The sequence below is a fragment of the Homo sapiens genome, chromosome 6, assembly GCF_000001405.40.
Source record: "Homo sapiens chromosome 6, GRCh38.p14 Primary Assembly".
NCBI classification, from domain to species: domain Eukaryota; kingdom Metazoa; phylum Chordata; class Mammalia; order Primates; family Hominidae; genus Homo; species Homo sapiens.
This window is the reverse complement of record NC_000006.12, coordinates 169,673,133-169,691,956: the sequence shown is the minus strand read 5'-3', so window position 1 is coordinate 169,691,956 and position 18,824 is coordinate 169,673,133. Positions and strand designations below refer to the sequence as shown.

The following is an 18,824-nucleotide window of genomic DNA, read 5'->3' as shown; positions in this document are numbered from 1 at the left end:
GGTACATTCCTGCAGTGGTTCTTGGAACAAAACTTCACAGTATGAGTATCCACATGCCTTTCAGTCCATCCTAGTGGGAGATGCACATTAGTCCTGTCTCCTAGCTGCCGTCTTCTTGCCTAACCACTTTAAAGGGTCACTGTAATAATGATAATCTATGTACTCATATATAGAAACCTGCTTATTAATGTCTACAGAAGTGGTTTGTAAACTGCAAATTGGCATACAAGTACTATTATTTGTAAAATGCTGCTGAATTCTATAGGAATTACAGAAGAGAATAAGATAATTATACTACAACAAAAGTTTATGTTGAAGAAAAAGATGGAACTCAATCACAATTTGATGAGTGTATTATTAGCATTTTTGAAACAACTATAATTTTTTATGTATTCTTCATCTGTCTCCGAAGATGTTTTATGTTTTGGGAAGCAGTGGATCTGGTGACAGCAGGTTCGTATTGTTCCCTTAGGACACATCTGCCCAGCACCTACTGCCATGCTCAAGTTACAGAGTCTACTGAGTAACTGTGGTAGCTTTGGAAGGTGTAGCTATTTTCATATGACACTCAAAGTATCTTTGCAAATATTAAAAAAAAAGTGAGATAAAAATTGTGAATTGGAGACAAATTTGCTTTAAAATAATGTACACATGCTTTTATTTTGTTTTTCTCCAAATATTGAGAATTTTCAAGCCTTTAAAAATTACGTTTTTTTAAAATTTAATTTAATTTAATTTTTTTGAGACAGAGTCTCGCTCTGTTGCCCAGGCTGGAATGCAGTGGCGCGATCTCGGCTCACTGCAAGCTCTGCCTCCCAGGTTCACGCCATTCTCCTGCCTCAGCCTCTTGAGTAGCTGGGACCACAGGTGCCCGCCACCACACCCTGCTAATTTTTTGTATTTTTAGTAGAGACAGGGTTTCACCGTGTTAGCCAGGATGGTCTCGATCTCCTGACCTCGTGATCCGCCCGCCTCGGCCTCCCAAAGTGCTGGGATTACAGGCGTGAGCGACCGTGCCCGGCCTCTTTTGAAGTATTTTCAGAAGATGATCTCGAGTGGTCCATTCTCCTTTGCTTCACTTCTCTTGTGAAATTCTGCTCCCCCCTGCACACAGGAAATTGTTACTGCTGCCCCGCCCGCAGCACAGAGGTGGTACTGAACGGTCACACCTTGCACTGGAATGTCAGACTTCTCAGTCAAGGGGCTGGGAGGCAGGCAGCGGAAGGTCCTGCTGATGAGTAGCACCCTACAGTGCTCTTTCTTTCTATGCAATTCCTGTCTGATCAAGGGTCCTTCAGACAAAGGATTCCATCCTATCAGTCTGGCCATGGATCCATGTCCTGCTGCCTCCTAAGGGCAAAATAGTTTAGATTGTGTGAAGTGCTGGGAAGGAGGTGGATGGGGTAGGGGGGCAGGGATGGGAGCCAGCTCTCAGGGGCCTCTGCTGAGACCTGGAGAATGGGAAGAGCTCCCAAGGTGCAGAGATGAGGAGGAATGGAACATGAAGATAAAGTGTGCGTGCTGAGGCAGTAAAAGCCCTGCTGTGTTGTAAGAGCTGGAAGAAAGAGTAAATAGAGTAGCAGTGGAGGGAGGAGCTGGAGAAGAGGAAGAGAAAGGCAGAGGCTGGGTTAGCAGAATCTCTCAGGGCCAGCATGAGGAGCACACGGGTGGATTTTTCGAATCCACGTGACCAGTGTGATGGCTGCATGGGTGTATCCTTTGAATCCACATGACCAGCATGAGGGCCTCATGGGTGGATCCTCTGAATCCATATGACCAGCATGAGGGCCTAATGGGTGGATCCTTTGAATCCACATGACCAGCATGAGGGCCTCATGGTTGGATCCTCTGAATCCATATGACCAGCATGAGGGCCTAATGGGTGGATCCTTTGAATCCACATGACCAGCATGAGGGCCTCATGGGTGGATCCTCTGAATTCACATGACCAGCATGAGGGCCTCACGGGTGGATCCTGTGAATCCACATGACCAGCATGAGGGCCGCATGGGTGGATCCTCTGAATCCACATGACCAGCATGAGCGCCACATGGGTGGATCCTCTGAATCCACGTGACCAGTGTGAGGGCCTCATGGGTGGGCCTTTGAATACCTACAGCGTGCATGACCCCACTGGATATTTGGGTGCTTGCCCATCACTTTCTAAGCAGGTCTGTTGTCTGTGCCTTCAGGTGCATCTATTGCCGGCCTGCAGTGGGGTGTGGGGTACAACAGAATCAAGGATGACCCCAGTGCCATTCCCACATGTTTCTGAAGTGATTATGCTGTGAAGTTAAGTGTAAAGTTGGATGAAGATCTGAAACATTTTATCTTTGTCAGTGTTTCATTAGTTTATGCTTTACGAAACATAGCCAGTGAATCACTGATTATAGAACCTGTGGTAGCTTAACTGTAATTACATACAGTGTTGTGAAATTGTTGAATCAAGCCCAGGTTAGTTATGGGAGATGCGGGTTCCAATTGCAGTTTCCTAACAACTGATTTGCTGTGGTCAATTCAGAAAATAACTTTGTGTCTTAGTCATTTCAGTAACCAACGTTTAGAACGCTAAGTGCCACAGCGCTGCACCCATGCCACATGGATCATTGTTTAGTCTTTGCCTCTCAGTAACTGTTCTCATTTGACAGTTGTGGAAGCTGATCGAGGAAGCCTAAGCAGGCTCTGTGAAGTGGGAATAGTGGTATTTGAGTCAAGGTTTGCTTAACTGGAAAGCCCGTGAGAAGAATGGAGCAGTTGAGAATGTGGAAGCTCCAGAGTTTTCGGCAATTTCTCTTCTTTTTTCTTGGGATGAGGAGAGGTGAATAAATAGGTATGATGTGGTATATGTGTGTGGTCAAACTAGTAACTATCAGTAGGTAATAGACTTTTTTTCTGTATTAAATATGATACCTATAGTCATCTTATATGTACTTTTTGTTTTCAGATTGAAGATGGAAAATCCCCAAGACATTTTCTCAAGTAATGGTGGCTGTCTAAGTGATATAGTTATAGAAAAATACCTGGTTGAATCCAAGGAGTCTGTGTCTCATGTTCAGCTTGCTTGCAGCATGCAGGACTGTGCTTTCCCTTTGGATGGAACTGAACTTTGTATATGGAACACTAAGGATCCTTCTCATCAGGTATTGAACGAGTTACATGTCCAGTGTCATGAAGGCCTTGCCCTTGTCTCTCCATGTCTTTGATGCTGTTCGGACAGCATTACCCTCTGTGGATTCAGCTACCAACTATAGGAGAAAAATATTGATAAAAACATTATATATATTTTTTTATTTTTAAATTTACTTTCATGTATTTTATAATATTTTTATATTTAGAACACAAGTGATTTGGAATTAATTTAATAAGTTTCTTCAGTAAGAAACTGATTGAAAAGGTTCATCTTAACATAATCAAGTCTCCTACATTCGAATGTTTAGATTGACGTTTCTCACTTTTTCGGTGAAGTATAAACTACTTAGAAAAAAAAAGTTCCACATAATAAGTGCATGTTGTAATGACTATAACTAAATGAATATGTTCAGGTAACCACCCCTAGATCATGCCTTTTCTCCGTCAATGCCCACTTCTCTCCTCCCCAAAAGGCAACACTATCTTGACTTCTAATACCACAGGTTAATTTTGCTTGTGATGAACTTTATATAAATGTGATTATACATTACGTACTTTTTTGTGCTGGTTTCTTTGATTAATCAGCATGTTTATGAGGTTCATCCATGTTGTTCATTTTCATTGCTACACAGTATTAGGATTTATTAGGTACCACTGTGCCGTTTTTGAAAGGCTAAAATAAAAATACATTTTTATTATAGAGTAATAAGTAGAATTACATTCTACTTATGTAAATAGACACTTTATCCTTTTTTATTATAGAATGATAAATAGAATTACATTCTACTTATGTAAGTAGACCACACTTTATCCATGCTTCTGTTGGTAGACATTTGTTGTATTTCAGTTTTTTGGCTGCTAGATTCTTTCCTATGTCTTTTGGTGCACACACACATAATTGCTGAGTTGTAAAGGATACATAAGCAGTTGACTCTTGAACAGCATGGGTTTGAACTGTGCTGGTTCACTTATACATGAATTTTTTTCAACGCAATGTGGGTCAAAACTATAGAATTTTCAGGATATGAAAACTGCATATTTGGAGGGGTACCTTTTCATATATGTGGAGTCCACACAGCCAACTGTGGGATGTGGGTGTACACAGATTTTGGTTTATGTGGGGTTCCTGGAATCAATTCCTCATGATAGTGAGGGATGTCTATATTCAGTAGATAATGCTAAGCAGATTTCCAAATTGGTTGTACCAATCTGTATTTCTTCTAATGGTGTGTGACTTTCAGTTGAACCATATCTTCACCTACACTTGTTTATTTTTATTTTAGCCTTTCGAAAAGGGCATAGTGGTACCTAATTATAATTAGTAATTCTGTGATTATTAAAGAGGTTTAGCACATTTATTGGCCATTTAGATATTGTTTTTTGTGATATATGTTTTCAAATCTCTTGCCATTTTTTTCTATTGGATTATCTGTCTTTTTTCTATTGATTTGAAGGAGTTCTTTATATTATAAATATAGGCTTTCTGTCCCTTTAGTTTGCATTTTCTAGAGTTTTATGTAAATAGAATCATATGGCAATTTAATTTTTATTGACATGTAATAGTTGTACATATTTTGGGGGTATATGTAATATTTTGATACAAGTATACAATGTGTTATGATCAAATCAGGATAATTGGGATGGCCATCACCTCAAACATTTATCTTTTTATTGTGTTGGTAACATTATAGTTTTTTTCTTCTGGCTATTTTGAATTATATAATAAGTTATTATTAACTGTAATTTTCCTACTGTACTCTTGAATACCAGAACTTATTCTTACTATCTAACTGTATTTTTTATCCCTTCTCTCACTTCTTTTCACTCTCCCCAATTCCCTTCCCAGCCTCTAGTAACCACCATTCTACTCCCCACTTCCACAAGATCCACTTTTTAAGTTTCCACATATGAGTAAGAACATGTGATATTTGTCTTTCTGTGCCTGGCTTATTTCATTTAACATAATGACCTCCAGTTCCATCCATGTTGCTGCAAATGACAGGATTTCAGTCTTTTTTATGGCAGAATAGTATTCCATTGTGTATATGTACCAAATTTCTTTATCCATTTATCTGTGGATGGATGCTTAGGTTGATTCCATATTTTGGCTGTTGTGATAGTGCTGCAATAAATATGGGAGTGCATTATTATATAATGTATTGCTTGTCTCTTTGTACAGCTTTTAACTTGATGTCTGTTTTATCTGATGTAAGTATAGCTACTCCTGCTTGCTTTTGGTTTCCATTTGCATGAATATATTTTTCCATCCCTTCACTTTAAGACTATGTGTGTCTTTATTGGTGAGATGAGTTTCTCGTAGTCCACATATAGTTGGGTCATATTTTTCTTTTTATTCAGCCAGTCTATATCTTTTAATAGGGAATGTTATTTATTTACATTCAGGGTTATTGATAGGTAAGTACTCATTCCTGTCATTTTATTGATTGTTTTCTAGTTGTATATCTTTTGTTCGTTACTTCTTCTCTTACTGTTTATTTTTTCAGTTGGGTGGTTTTCTATAGGTTTGATTCCTTTGTCTTTCTCCTTTGTGTATTGGGTCTACAAGGGACTTTTGTAGTTTTCCATGTTTTCATGATGGTGGATATCATCCTTCTCCTTCCGGATAAAAGACTCCCTTGAGCATTTCTTGTAAGACCAGTCTAGTGGTGATGAATTCCTTGAATTTTGTCTCTGAAGATTTAATTTGTCCTTCATTTCTTAAAAATAGCTTTGCTGGGTATAATATTCTTGGCTGGAAGTTTATTTTCTTTCAGTACTTTGAATATAGCAACCAGTTCTCTCCTGAACTGTAAGGTTTCTGCTGAAAAATATGCTGTTAGTCAAATAGAGATTCCCTTATATGTGACTTGATGCTTTTGCTGCTTTAATTTTTTCTTTGTCTTTCGATTTTGACAATTTGACTATAATGTACCTCTAAAAGGACCTATTTGGTTTGAAACTATTTGGTTATTCGAGCTTCCTGAACCTGGATTTCCATCTCTTTCCCAAGACTTGAGACGTTCTCTGCTATGATTTATTAAATATGTCTTCCTCACCTTCTCCCTTATCTTCTTCTGCTAGAATGCCCATATTATGAATATTTATTTGCTTAGTCTCATAAATCACATAGGCTTTATTCTTTTTTATTCTTTTTTTGTCTGCTGGTATTATTTCAAAAGTCCTGTCTTCAAGTTCAGAAATTCTTTCTTCAGCGTGATGAAGCCTAGTTGCTTAATCTAGTTGTTAAAGCTCTCAATTATGTTTTTAAATTTTATTCATTGAATTCTTTAACTCTATGATTTCTCTTTGGTTCTTTTTAAAATAATACCTATTTCTTTGTTGAATTTCTCATTCATATCATGAGTTGTTTTCCTGATTTTGTTGAATTGTCTATCTGTATTCTCTTGAATCTCAGTGAGTTTCCTTAAAATTATTATTTTGAATTCTTTTTCTGACATTTCATATATTTTCTTATGATTGGTGTCTGTTACTGGAAAATTGTTGTTTTCCTTTGGAGGTGACTTTTTGTTGTTGTTGTTTGTTTTTGGCTTTTTTTTTTCTTTGATTTTCATGGTTGATATGTCCTGACATTGATTTAAGAGCATCTGATGGGAAAGTTGCACCTTCCAATTATATGGAGCACGTTTCATAGGGATTTATTTGTATGAATGGGTCCTGGGGTGTCAGTTTAGTGGGGTCTTTTGGTCTTGATTCTAGGTGGATGTAGTAGCGTAGTATCTGTGTGGTTTCTTCTGTTGTAATCCACACTAGTGGCATTTATGAGTTTCTCAATGGCCTTGACTAAGAGAATTTGTGGTGATGGTTGTGTAGCTTTGCCAAGGATGGGTTCACCTGGTATTTCTCAGGTTGGGGGTACACATGTACACATAGGGTCAGCCAACTTGGGGTCTGGCTTGCTGGGGTTGGGGCCACAGGGATGTTATTGTGGCCAGGAGCATGGGCACATGGTTGCTTGGCCAGCGTGGGGACATATCTGCTGGGGCAGCTCCTGGGGCTGTTTCTCCAGCATTGGACGTAGGCACAAGGCTGCTCAGCTGGCTGCGGGCATGCCCATTAGGGGTGGCCCATAGAGCTGTTTCTCAGGCTTTGTAAGTGGGCACACAGCTGCTGGATTTGTCTGAGAGCATATCTGCTGGGGGAAACCCACAGGACTGCTTCTCAGTCCCAGGACATAGTCACACAGCTTATGGCTGCTTGGCTGACCTGGGGGTATGTCTCCTGGGTGTGGGCACAGGGCTACTATAGGCCCAGGACATGGGAACAGGGCTGCTCAGCCCGCTTGGTGATGTGCCTCCAAAGGCAACCCATGGGTCTTTTTCTTGAGTCTGAGACATGGGCACATAGCTGTTTGTTGGGCCTGGGAGCATGCTTGCCATAGTCAGCCTGTGAGACTGTTTCTCAGGCCTTTATTGGAGACTCGGGGACATTGGGCAGCCCAGAAGTATTTCTTCTTGGGGCAGGGGTGCCATAGGGGTGTTTCCCAGGTCCTGAGCACAGGTGTTTAGCAACTCTGCTGGCCCAGGGGTGAATCATCTGTTAGGAGTCTCAGGAGCCTCTCCTGCTTTGAGGAGGGTGTGCAATGGTTTGGCTAAATCAAGGGCAGGTTTGTCCTTGGCAGGAGTGCTGGGTTGTTTCTCTGGCTGGAAGTGCAGTGGCGAGGGTTGGTTTCTCTGTTGTGCAGGGCCAGTCTCAACAGCCGATCCTGGTCCCAGGCTCCATGCAACTGGGGTTGTGACATTCAGCCACTCATGTGGGCTTGGTATAGTAAAGATGGAGCCCCAGGGCTGGAGAATGGCAGTGACTTCTGGCCCCCAGAGCAGGGCATGTTGGAGAGGCAGCTCTGGTCTCAAGATGGTGCTGTGCTACAGCAGCTTTGGCTCACAGGGTGGGTGGGGAGTGAGGAGTGCACACTTCGTGCTCCTAATCTGGGGTAATGCAACAGCATGAATTTCCAGCAGCTCCCAAACTAGGCTCAGGGCTTGCAGGGACTGTGGGATTCTCCTGTTGTAAAGACTTCAGGTGTTTGTGGTGGTGATGTGGGTGGTTGGGGATCTTTTGCTTACCTTTTCCTTGCAGGGGGAAGTCCCATCTGACGCTGGGCAGATTTGACCCAGGCAGGGGAGTTGGGGCTACAGAGGCTAGGTACCTCTATGCTGCTCTCCTGGACTTCCAGTCACCACAGGTGCATCATCACTTCCCCTGCTGTGTTGCAGTGCTCTTCCTTCCACACTCTAGTCAAATCTTAGCTTTTTATTTATTGCCTTGTTTTTTTTTTTCTTTTGGAGGGGCTCAAGTGCCAGGTGTCTCTAGTCAGCCGTCTTGCTGATATCACTTAGTCTAGTTGTCAGTTTCTCCAGGTACAGTATGCTTGATTGGCATTTTTTTTCTTTCCCTGAATATATCACTGCCTCCCCTCACTTCTTGCCTGTAAGGTTTTTGCTGAACAGTCTGCTGCCAGGCATGTTGGGTCTCCCTTGTATGTTATTTACTTATTTTATCTCACTGCTTTCAAGATCCTCTCTTTGTCTTTGACCTTTGAAAGTTTGATTATAATATATCTTTGGGTATTTTTATTTGGGTTGAATCTTATTGGTAACTTTTGACCTTCCAGTACGTAGATATTTATATCTCCAGGTTTGGAAAGTTTTCTGTTATTTCTTTGAATAACCTTCTACCACTTCGTCTTCCTCAATTCCTTCTTTAACTCTAATAACCTGAATATTTGCTCTTTTGTTGTCTCATAGCTCCCATAAGCTTCTTCATTCCTTTTCATTTTCTTTTTTCTCCTCTGACTGTGTATTTGCAAATAGTCTGTCTTTGAGCTCACTGATTCTTTCTTCTGTTTGCTGAATTCTGTGGTTGATGCTATCTATTGCATTTTTCATTTAATTATTTGTATTTAGCTCCAAAATTTTTGATTTTTTTTAAAATTAATCTCTGTTAAGTTTCTTTGGTGATTTCTGAGTTGATTCTCTGTTTTTCTAAATTTTCTTGAGATTCCTTAAAACAGCTATTTTGAATGATTTGTCTGAGGGACCACTCATATTCATTATTTTATGGTCAGTCTGTCGCAACTTATTTTGTCTGTTTGATGGGGTCATATTTTCCTGAGCATTGCTGATGCTTGTGGACATGTGGTTACGTCTGTGCACTGAGGGATTAGGTATTTATTTAAGTCTTCGTAAGTCTGGCTTTGTTTGTGCCTGTCCTTCTTCAGAGGGCCTTCCAGGGATTCTACATAGACTGACTGTTGAGTTCCCTGAGCCCATGACCACTGCAGCCATCTCAGCATTAGAGGATGCTTTAAGCACAGGATTGCTGCGAGTCTTGCAAGAACTCTGAGGTTGACACAGCTTTCTGGCCCAGATGGACCTGGGTAGGACTCAGCGTGGGTACTGGGGCTCTGTGGGAATGCTGACCAGGCACCTGAGTCCAGAATGCTGTCCTAGTGGCCCAGACAGGTGTGTCACCCAGCAGGTCTCTGCACAGGTGAGGAATGGGAGTTGAGATTGGGAGTCCGTGGATAGTTTTCTAACAGCAGTGAGAGGGGCCAGAACTGAGACTGGGTCCCTTCAGGATCTGCTGTGGGATGGAGGTTGGAGAGCTGATTTTGTTGGCTCAGAGAGTCATTTGTCTCCCAGGGAGACCCTGCGCCAATAAGATAGTTTCCCAACTGCAGCAGGATGGGCTGGAGCTGAGATTGGGCCCGTCTGGGATCTGCTGTGGGACAGAGGTTGGAGAGCCTGGTCACATTGATTCAGAGGGTTGCATGTCTCTGAGGAAGTCCCTGCAGAGATGAGATAGTTCCCCGATTTCAACAGGAGGAGTTGGAGCTGGGACTGGGCCCCCTTATGATCTGCTGTGGGTGGGAGACTAGAGAGGTCTAGTTGGCACAGAGGAGCATGCATCTCCTAGCAGGTCTCAGCACAGATGGGATAGTTCCCTGAGTGCAGCAGAAGAGCCCAGAGCTGAGATTGGGTACCCTCAGGATCTGTCATGGGAGGAAGTGTGGCGAGCCTGCCAGGGAGGGCTGAGACTCCCAGGTTGCAAGATACGGGCAAGTCTCCCTGTGGGTCTTTGTGTAAGCAGCTCTTACCTGGGACCTCAGATGAGGGAATTGGAGCGAAGCCACAGGGCAGCTTTCAGGTTCATTGCCTAGACCATTGTCAACAGGCAGATGAGCCCTTCCATCAGTTAGTAGAGTGTGTGATTCCTGCCAGACCCTTTGGCTGTTGGTTTTGTTTTCAGGCTCAAGGCCAAATGAGGTGGTAACCAAGCCCCTTGGAGGACTGGGCCATTTCTGGGCTTGAAGCTACGAGCACGCTTAGTGAATCAGCCACCTAGGTGTGGGTCTCAACTCTCAAAATGACCTTCTAAGATCTTGGCTCTGCTGGGGTTTCACAACTTCCACCTGAATTCTGAGGCTCTTGTAGAGAGACTTTGGACCATGGATGGGTGCAGAATTTTTGTTATTGTCGGGAGATATGAGTGGGTTAGCTTCTATTTCACCAGCTTGGTGATGTCCGATACTTACTCATTTTGTCTGGCTTTCTTCACTCAGGATAATTGAGATCCATGTTCCTGCATTCAGTAGTTCATTCTTCTTTATTATTGAGTAATATTCATTGTATGGATATACTATACTTTATGCATTCTCCTATTGGTGGGAATTTAGGTTATTTTTAGTTTTTGACTATTGCAAGTAACACTATTAGGAATAATTGTGTTTGTGTCTTTTGTTTTATAAATGTCAGTTAGGTTGAGGTGGCTAATAGTGTTCTTCAAGTCTTCTATATTCTTGAGGATTTCATGTCCAGTTGTTCAGTCAGTTATTGAAAGAGGCATATTGAAATCTGTGACTCTGTGAACTTATCTGTCTTCCATTAGTTTTTACTTTATGTATTTTGAAACTCTGTTATTAAGCACATATGTGTTTAGTATATTTTATGTCCTGTTGAACTGACTTCATTTATTATAAAGTGATACTGTTTTTTGATCCCTGGTAATATTCTTGCTCTGAAATCTTCTTTGGCTACTTTCTATTTTCGTTAATGTTAGCATTGTATCTCTTTCATTTCCTCTCTCACAACTTTTATGTTTTTGTTGTCATGCATTTTACTTTTGCATATGCTACAAACCTGACAATCCATTATTACTTTTGTTAAACATTCAGGGATCTTTTAAAGATATTTAAACAATAAGAAAAATATCTTCTTTTTTCTTTTGAGATGGAGTCTTGCTCTGTCACCCAGGCTGGAGTGCAGTGGCGCAATCTTGGCTCACTGCAAGCTCCGCCTCCCGGGTTCACGTCATTCTCCTGCCTCAGCCTCCCGAGTAGCTGGGACTACAGGCGGCCATCACCAAGCCCCGCTAATTTTTTGTATTTTTAGTAGAGACAGGGTTTCACCGTGTTAGCCAGGATGGTCTCGATCTCCTGACCTCGTGATACACCTGCCTCGGCCTCCCAAAGTACTTGGATTACAGGCGTGAGCCACTGCGCCTGGCCTTTTCTTTTTTAATTTTAAGGCTCTTAAATTTAAGAAGGAAAAATATCTTACACATCTACCCACGTAATTATATTTTTGGTGCTCTTCATTCCTTTGTGTACATGCATGTTTCCGTCTGGTAGCATTTTCCTTCTGCCTGAAGTATTTTATTTAACATATGTTTCAGTGCAAATATGGTGATAAATTATTTCAGCCTTTGTGTGTTTAAAAAAGTTTTTATTTTGCCTTGTTTTTGAAAGGCATTTATATTGAGTAGAGAATTCTAGTTTGACAGATTTTTCTTCAGGTTTTTAATATGTTGCTCTTCTATCATTTCAATGAGAATTCTGTTATTATCTTTATCTTTGTTCTCATGTATACAATGGGTTATATTTGTCTGGCTGCCTTTAAAACTTCCTATGTTACCAATTTTGAACAATTTGATCATGCTATGTTTTGGTGTATTTTTCTTCATATTTCTCATTCTTGCATGTATTAGGCCATTTCTGTATTGCTATAAAGAAATACCTGAGACTGGATAATTTATAAAGAAAAGAGATTTAATTGGCTCATGGTTCTGCAGACTGTACAAGCATGACACCAACGTCTGCTTTGCTTTTAATTAGGACTGCAGGAACCTTACAGTCATGGCAGAAGGTGAAGAGGGAGCAGGTACTTCACAGGGTGAAAACAGGAACAAGTGGTCAGGAGGAGGTGCCATACACTTTTAAATGACCAGATTTCATGAGAACTCACTCACTGTGGTGAGGACAGCATTAAGCCATGAGGGATCAGCCGGCATGACCCAAACACCTCCCACCAGACCCCACCTCCAACACTGGGGATTACATCTCCACATGAGATTTGCAGGGGACATGCAGACTATATCATTCTACTCCTGGTCCCCTACATTTTATGTCCTTCTCACATTGCAAAATATAATCATGTCTTTCCAACAGTCCCCCAAAGTCTTGTCGACGAAAAGAGTCAAACTTTGTAAAATATTTTAAGAGATTTATTTTGAGCCAAGTATGAGTGACCATGGCCTGTGACATAGCCCTCAGGAGGTCCTGAGAACGTGTGCCCAAGGTGGTCAGGGCACAGCTTCATTTTATATATTTCAGGGAGGCATGAGACATCAATCAAATACACTTAAGAAATACATTGATTTCATTCAGAAAGGCGAGACCACTCAAAGCGGGGGCTTCCAGGCTATAGGTAAATTTAAACATTTTCTGGTTGACAGTTGGTTGAGTTTATCTAAAGATCTGAGATCGATAGAAAGGAATGTTCAGGTTAAGCTAAAGGATTGTGGAGACCATGTTTTACTCTGCAGAGTAAGCTCTCAGATAGCAGACTTCAGAGAGAGCAGGTTGTAAATTGTTTCTTTTTGGACTTAAAAAGGGTGCCTGGCTCTTAGTTGATTATCTCCTGGATCTGGAAAGGAAGGAAGGAAAACAAAGGGAAAAGGGGTTTCTCTATAGAATGTGGATTTTTACCACAAGAGACTTTGCAGGACAATTTCAAGGTATGGCAAGGAAATATATTTTGAGGTAAAACATTTTGATTTTCTTCCTTGTTATGCCAGAGTCAGATTGGAAAGTCAGCCACGATAGAAAGGGTCAAATAAAACTCATCTGCTGAGAATTTATGGTTGGTAGGGCATGACTCCCCAGACCCCTTAGAAAGGAATTTGGGCAAGATAAAAAAAAATCAGAGCTTAATCCTCAGCCTTAACTTGTTCCAGCATCAACTCAATCAAAAGTCCCAAGTCCTAAGTCCAAAGTTTCATCTGAGACAAGGCAAGTTCCTTCCACCTATGAGCCTGTAAAATAAAAAACAAGTTATTTACTCCCAATATACAAAGGGATTATAGGCATTGGATAAACATTCCCATTTCCAAAGGGAGAAATTGGCCAAAAGAGAGGAGCTATAGGCCCCATGCAAGTCTGAAACCCAGCAGGACAGTCATTAAATCATAAAGCTCCAAAATTATCTCTATTGACTCTGTGTCCCACATCCAGAGCACACTGGTACAAGGGGTGGACTCCCAAGGCCTGGGGCAGCTCTGTCCCTGTGGCTTTGCAAGGTTCAGCCCTTGTGGCTGCTTTCACTGGTTGCTGAGTGCCTACGGCTTTTCTAGGAGCAGGGTGTAAGCTGCTGGAATATCTGCCATCCTGGGGTCTGGATGATGGTGCCCCTCTTCTCACAGCTCTAGTAGGCAGTGCCTCAGTGGGGACTCTGTGTGGGGGCTCCAACTCCACATTTCCCCTTGGCATTGGCACTGCCCTAGTAGAAGCTCTCTGTGAAGGCTCCACTCCTGCAGCAGGCTTCTGCCTTGGCACCCAGGCATTCTCACAAATCCTCTGAAACCTAGCTGGAGGCTGCTAAGCCTCCTTTACTCTTGTACTCTGTGCACCCGCAGGCTTAATACCACATGGAAACCACCAAGGCCTGTGGCTTGCACCCTCTGAAACAGCAGCCCAAGCTGTATCTGGGGTCCTCTGAGCTGAGGCCAGAGCTGGAGACGGGAGCAGTGTCCTGAGGCTGTGTGGGGCAGCAGGCCCTGGCCGTCAAAACCATTCTTTCCTCCTAGACTTCAGGGCCTGTAATGGGAGGGACTGCCTTGGAGATATCTGGAATGTCTTGGAGGCCTTTCCCATTGCCTTGGTTATCAGCCTTTGGTTCTTTTTTTAGTTACACAAATATCTTAAGTAAATGGTTGCTCCACAGCCTGCTTGAATTCCTCTCACCAAAAACAGTTACTTTTTGCCACATGGCTGGGCTGCAAATTTTCTGAACTTTTATGCTCTGCTTTCCTTTTAAATATAAATTCCAACTGTATGGCATTTCTTTGCTCCCATTTATGATTGTATGTTGTTAGAAGCATCCAGGAGACATCTTACATGCTTTGCTGATTAGAAATTTCTTCCTTCAGGTACACTAGGCCATCACTCAAGTTTAAGCTTCCACAGAGCCCTAGGGCATGAACAGAATGTAGCCAAGCTCTTTGCTGTGGCATAACAAGAGTGACCTTTGCTCCAGTTCCCAGCAAGTTCATTTCCATCTGAGACTTCCTCAGCCTAGACTTCACTGTCTTTACCACTATCAGTGTTTTGGTCACAGTCATTTAACTGGTATCTAAGAAGTTCCAAAGTTTCCCTCAGCATCTCGTCTTCCTCTGAGCCCTCCAAACTCTTCCAACTTCTGCTGGTTACTCAGGTCCAAAGCCACTTCCACGTTTTTAGGTATCTTTATAGCAGTGCCCCACTTCTTGGTACCAATTTTCTGTATTAGGCCTTTCATGAATTGCTATGTCAATGAAAGCATCAAAGTCTGTAAAATATTTGAAGAGATTTATTCTGAGTCAACTACGAGCGACCAGAGGCCCAAGGCACAGTCTTGAGGTCCTGAGAACATGTGCGTGATGGTCAGGCTACAGCTTGGATTTATACAATTTAGGGAGACATAAGACATCAATCAATACATGTAATATGTACATTGCTTAGGTCCAGAAAGGTGGGACAGTTCAAAGTGGGGGCTTCCAGGTCATAGGTGGATTCGATAATTTTCTAAATTGCAATTGGTTGAAAGTGTTAAGTTATTGTCTAAAGACCTAGACTCAATAGAAGGAATGTCTGGGTTAAGATAACGGATCGTGGAGACCAAGGTCCCCAATATACATAAGAAGCCTCCAGGTGGCAGGCTTCAGAGAGAATAGATTGTAAATATTTATTAGACTTAAAAAGTGCCAGAGTCTTAGTGGTTACTCTTCTGGATCAGGAAAAAGGCCTACAAAGGAAAGGGGATCTTCTGCAGAATGTAGATTTTCCCCACAAGAGACAGCTTCGCAGGCCTATGTCAAGATATGGTAAAGAAACATAATTGGAGTTAACATATTTTAATTCCCTTCTTTATCTGTCATGTGATGTTATGCCAGAGTTAGGTTGGAAAGTAAGCCACGTTATATAGGGTTAAATAAAATCCTCTGATGAGACTTTATGGTTTTTAGTGTGTGAATCCTTAAGCCCCTTAGATAGGAATTTGGACAGGAGAAGAAAAAGGTCAGAGTTTAGTCCTGAGTATAACAAAATACCTGAGACTGGGTAATTTATAAAGAAAAGAGATTTAATTGGCTCATGGTTCTGCAGGCTGCACAAGTGAGGACTAAACTCTGATTTTTTATCTTGCCCAAATTCCTACCTAAGGGGCCTAGGGAGTCATGCCCTACAAACCATAAATTCTGATTAGATGGGTTTTATTTGACCCCGTATATCATGACTTACTTTTCAGTCTGACTCTGGCATAACATTATGAGATAAGGAAAAAATATTCAACCCCAAAATATATTTCCTTGCCATACCTTGAAATTGCCTTGCAAAGTCTCTTGTGGAAAAATCCATATTCTATAGAGAATCCCCTTTTCCCTTTGTTTTCCTTCATTCCTTCCCAGATCCAGGAGATAATTGAGTAAGAGCCAAGTACCCTTTTAAGTCCGATAAGAAAAATTTTACAGCCTGCAGTCTCTGAAGTCTATCTGAGAGCTTCCTCTGCACAATAAAACATGGTATCCACAATCCTTTATCTTAACCTGAATATTCCTATCGATCTCAGATCTTTAGATAAACAACCAATTGTCAACCAGAAAATGTTTAAATTTACCTATAGCCTGGAAGCCCCCGCTTTGAGTTGTCCCGCCTTTCTGAACGAAACCAATGTATTTCTTAAGTGTATTTGATTGATGTCTCATGCCTCCCTAAAGTACATAAAACCAAGCTGTACCCCAACCACCTTGGGTACATGTTCTCAGGACCTCCTGAGGGCTGTGTCATGGACCATGGTCACTCATATTTGGTTCAGAATAAATCTCTTAAAATATTTTACAAAGTTCGACTCTTTTGTCGACACAAGCATGGCACCAACAAATGCTTGGCTTCTGGTGAGGGCCTCAGGAACCTTACAATCATGGTGGAAGGCAAAGGGAAAACAGGCATGTCATATGGCAAAAACAGGAGCAAGGCATGGGGGGAGGTACCACACACTTTTAAATGATCAGATCTCATGAGAACTCACCATGGTGAGGATGGCACCATGCCATGAGGGATCTGCCCCCATGACCCATACACCTCCCAGCAGGCCCTACCGCCAACACTGGGGATTACATCTCAACGTGGGATTTGGAGGGTGTCAGGCCTCTGAGCCCAAGCTCGGCCATCATATCCCCTGTGACCTGCATGTACACATCCAGATGGCTGGTTCCTGCCTTAACTGATGACATTCCACCACAAAAGAAGTGAAAATGGCCTGTTCCCGCCTTAACTGATGACATTGTCTTGTGAAATTCCTTCTCCTGGCTCATCCTGGCTCAAAAGCTCCCCCACTGAGTACTTTGTGACCCCTACTCCTGCCCGCCAGAGAACAACTCCCCTTTTTCCTTTACCTACCCAAATCCTATAAAACCCCACCCCATTGCCCTTTGCTAACTCTCTTTTCGGACTCAGCCCGCCTGCACCCAGGTGATTAAAAGCTTTATTGCTCACACAAAGCCTGTTTGGTGGTCTCTTCACATGGACGCGCATGAAAGAGGGGACATCCAAACTTTATCATTGGGGTTCTACGGGTTTATGGTTTTCATCAAAATTTGGAAAATTTTCAGCCATTATTTCTTCAAATATTCCCCTCCTCCCAAACGTTGTGGACCCTGCTTACATGTATGTCAGGTCACGTGAAGTTTCCCACAGCTCACTGATACTCTTTCATGGTTATGAATGTATTTTTTCTCTCTTTCATTTTTATATAGCTTCTATTGCTTTGTCTTTAAATTTACCAATCTTTTCCTCAGCAACATCTAATATGCAGTTAATCCCACTAAGTGTTTTTTAAAATTTTATCTTATTCTAGTTTTCATCTCCAGAAGTTAGGTTTGGGACTTTTAAATATCTTCTATGCCTCTACTTAACTTTTGAACATATGGAAAATGTTTTAATAATGGTTTGAATGTTCTTGTCTAGTAATTCTAACATTTGGATCAGTTTTAGTTTGGTTTCAAGTCTTATCTGGATGACTTGTAGGCATCGCATTTCTCTATTCTTTATTTTTCTTTGTTTTTGACTAAATGGTCTTGTCTCCTTGAATACCTGGTTGTTTTTTAGATTGCTGGATTTTGTATATGAAAAAAAAGTATAGCTGATTTGATACTCTGGATTCTTACATTCTTCCAAATCAGATTTATGTTAGCTTCTGGTAGCCAGTCATGCTCAGGGCACTGGCAGTCCTAGATTACCCTAAGCCAGTCAGGTGTTAAGTCAATTCATAACTGGGTGTCAGTTCTTATGAGGGTTGTTTTATTTCCAGTTCATCTTTACTCCTTGGGTTTTGTCTTTTTTGGGGTTCCCATTCTAAGCCTAGGGGGTTTAGCAGCATGCTCATCCCTCTCACCTTAGTAGATTGTATTCTAGGCAGACATTTACTTAAAATCCATTCATATTTCTTTACGGAAAAAAATTGTAGAGTTATCAACATTAAGGCAATCAGCTGTATCACAAAATTACTTTGTAATATGACAGAAATCTTTTCCCTTCTCCCAATATGATAGTTCTGTTTGTGTCCCTGAGGATGACTCATTTAATTACACCATTTTTGTGCCCGTAGCCCCTTGAATCTCAGCTCCTCAGCTGCCTTTAGTGGAATTGTCAGAAAATTGTCTTTATAGTAGATATCTTTATGGGACAAGTGACCCCAGCATCTGGGGTCACTTCCCTCAGTTTTTTTCTGCCCTATATATAATCTTGTTACCATAATTCTTCAACGACCTAGTTGCTTTCTGATGCCTTCAAAATGTGTGTCTCTCTGTGTGTATATGTATATGTGTGTGTGTTTGTATATATATATAGTGTGTGTGTGTGTATATATATATTTAATTTTGTCCAGTTTTTCTTGTAATTCTCATCAGTAGGATTGGTACTAATGAGGTGACGTATCCTGCCTTTACTAGAAGTGGAATTCTCCAGTGATATCTCTCATATTAAACTGCCTGTTGTCTATTTAACATCGCCTTATAAGCATCTCAGCTTACTATGGACCCCCAGTCCCATCCCATTTTCCCTCTGTATTTTGTTCTTGAGACATTGTTCGCCTAGGTTTTTAACCTCAAACCCTATCCCTTTGCTTTTGTTTTTCCCTCCATCC

General features: G+C 41.6%; 1 protein-coding gene across 29 annotated transcripts in view; it reads left to right on the top strand.

Annotated features, from left to right (window-relative positions):
* WDR27 (WD repeat domain 27) overlaps window positions 1-18,824 on the top strand; it is a 275,610-nt gene that overhangs the window by 10,073 nt on the left and 246,713 nt on the right. For 22 of the 29 annotated variants that reach the window (XR_007059231.1, NR_146875.2, XR_007059230.1 and 19 more), the window contains exons 2-3: window positions 2,649-2,830; window positions 2,945-3,140. Coding sequence is in view for 24 of the 29 variants with exons in the window: in XM_011535688.4 (XP_011533990.1) it covers window positions 2,952-3,140 (189 nt within the window). In the remaining 5 variants the exon portion in view is untranslated. The remainder of the gene's footprint in view (window positions 1-2,648; window positions 2,831-2,944; window positions 3,141-18,824) is intronic. The other 7 variants (NM_001350623.2, XM_017010669.2, NM_001202550.2 and 4 more) reach the window with 1 other exon arrangement.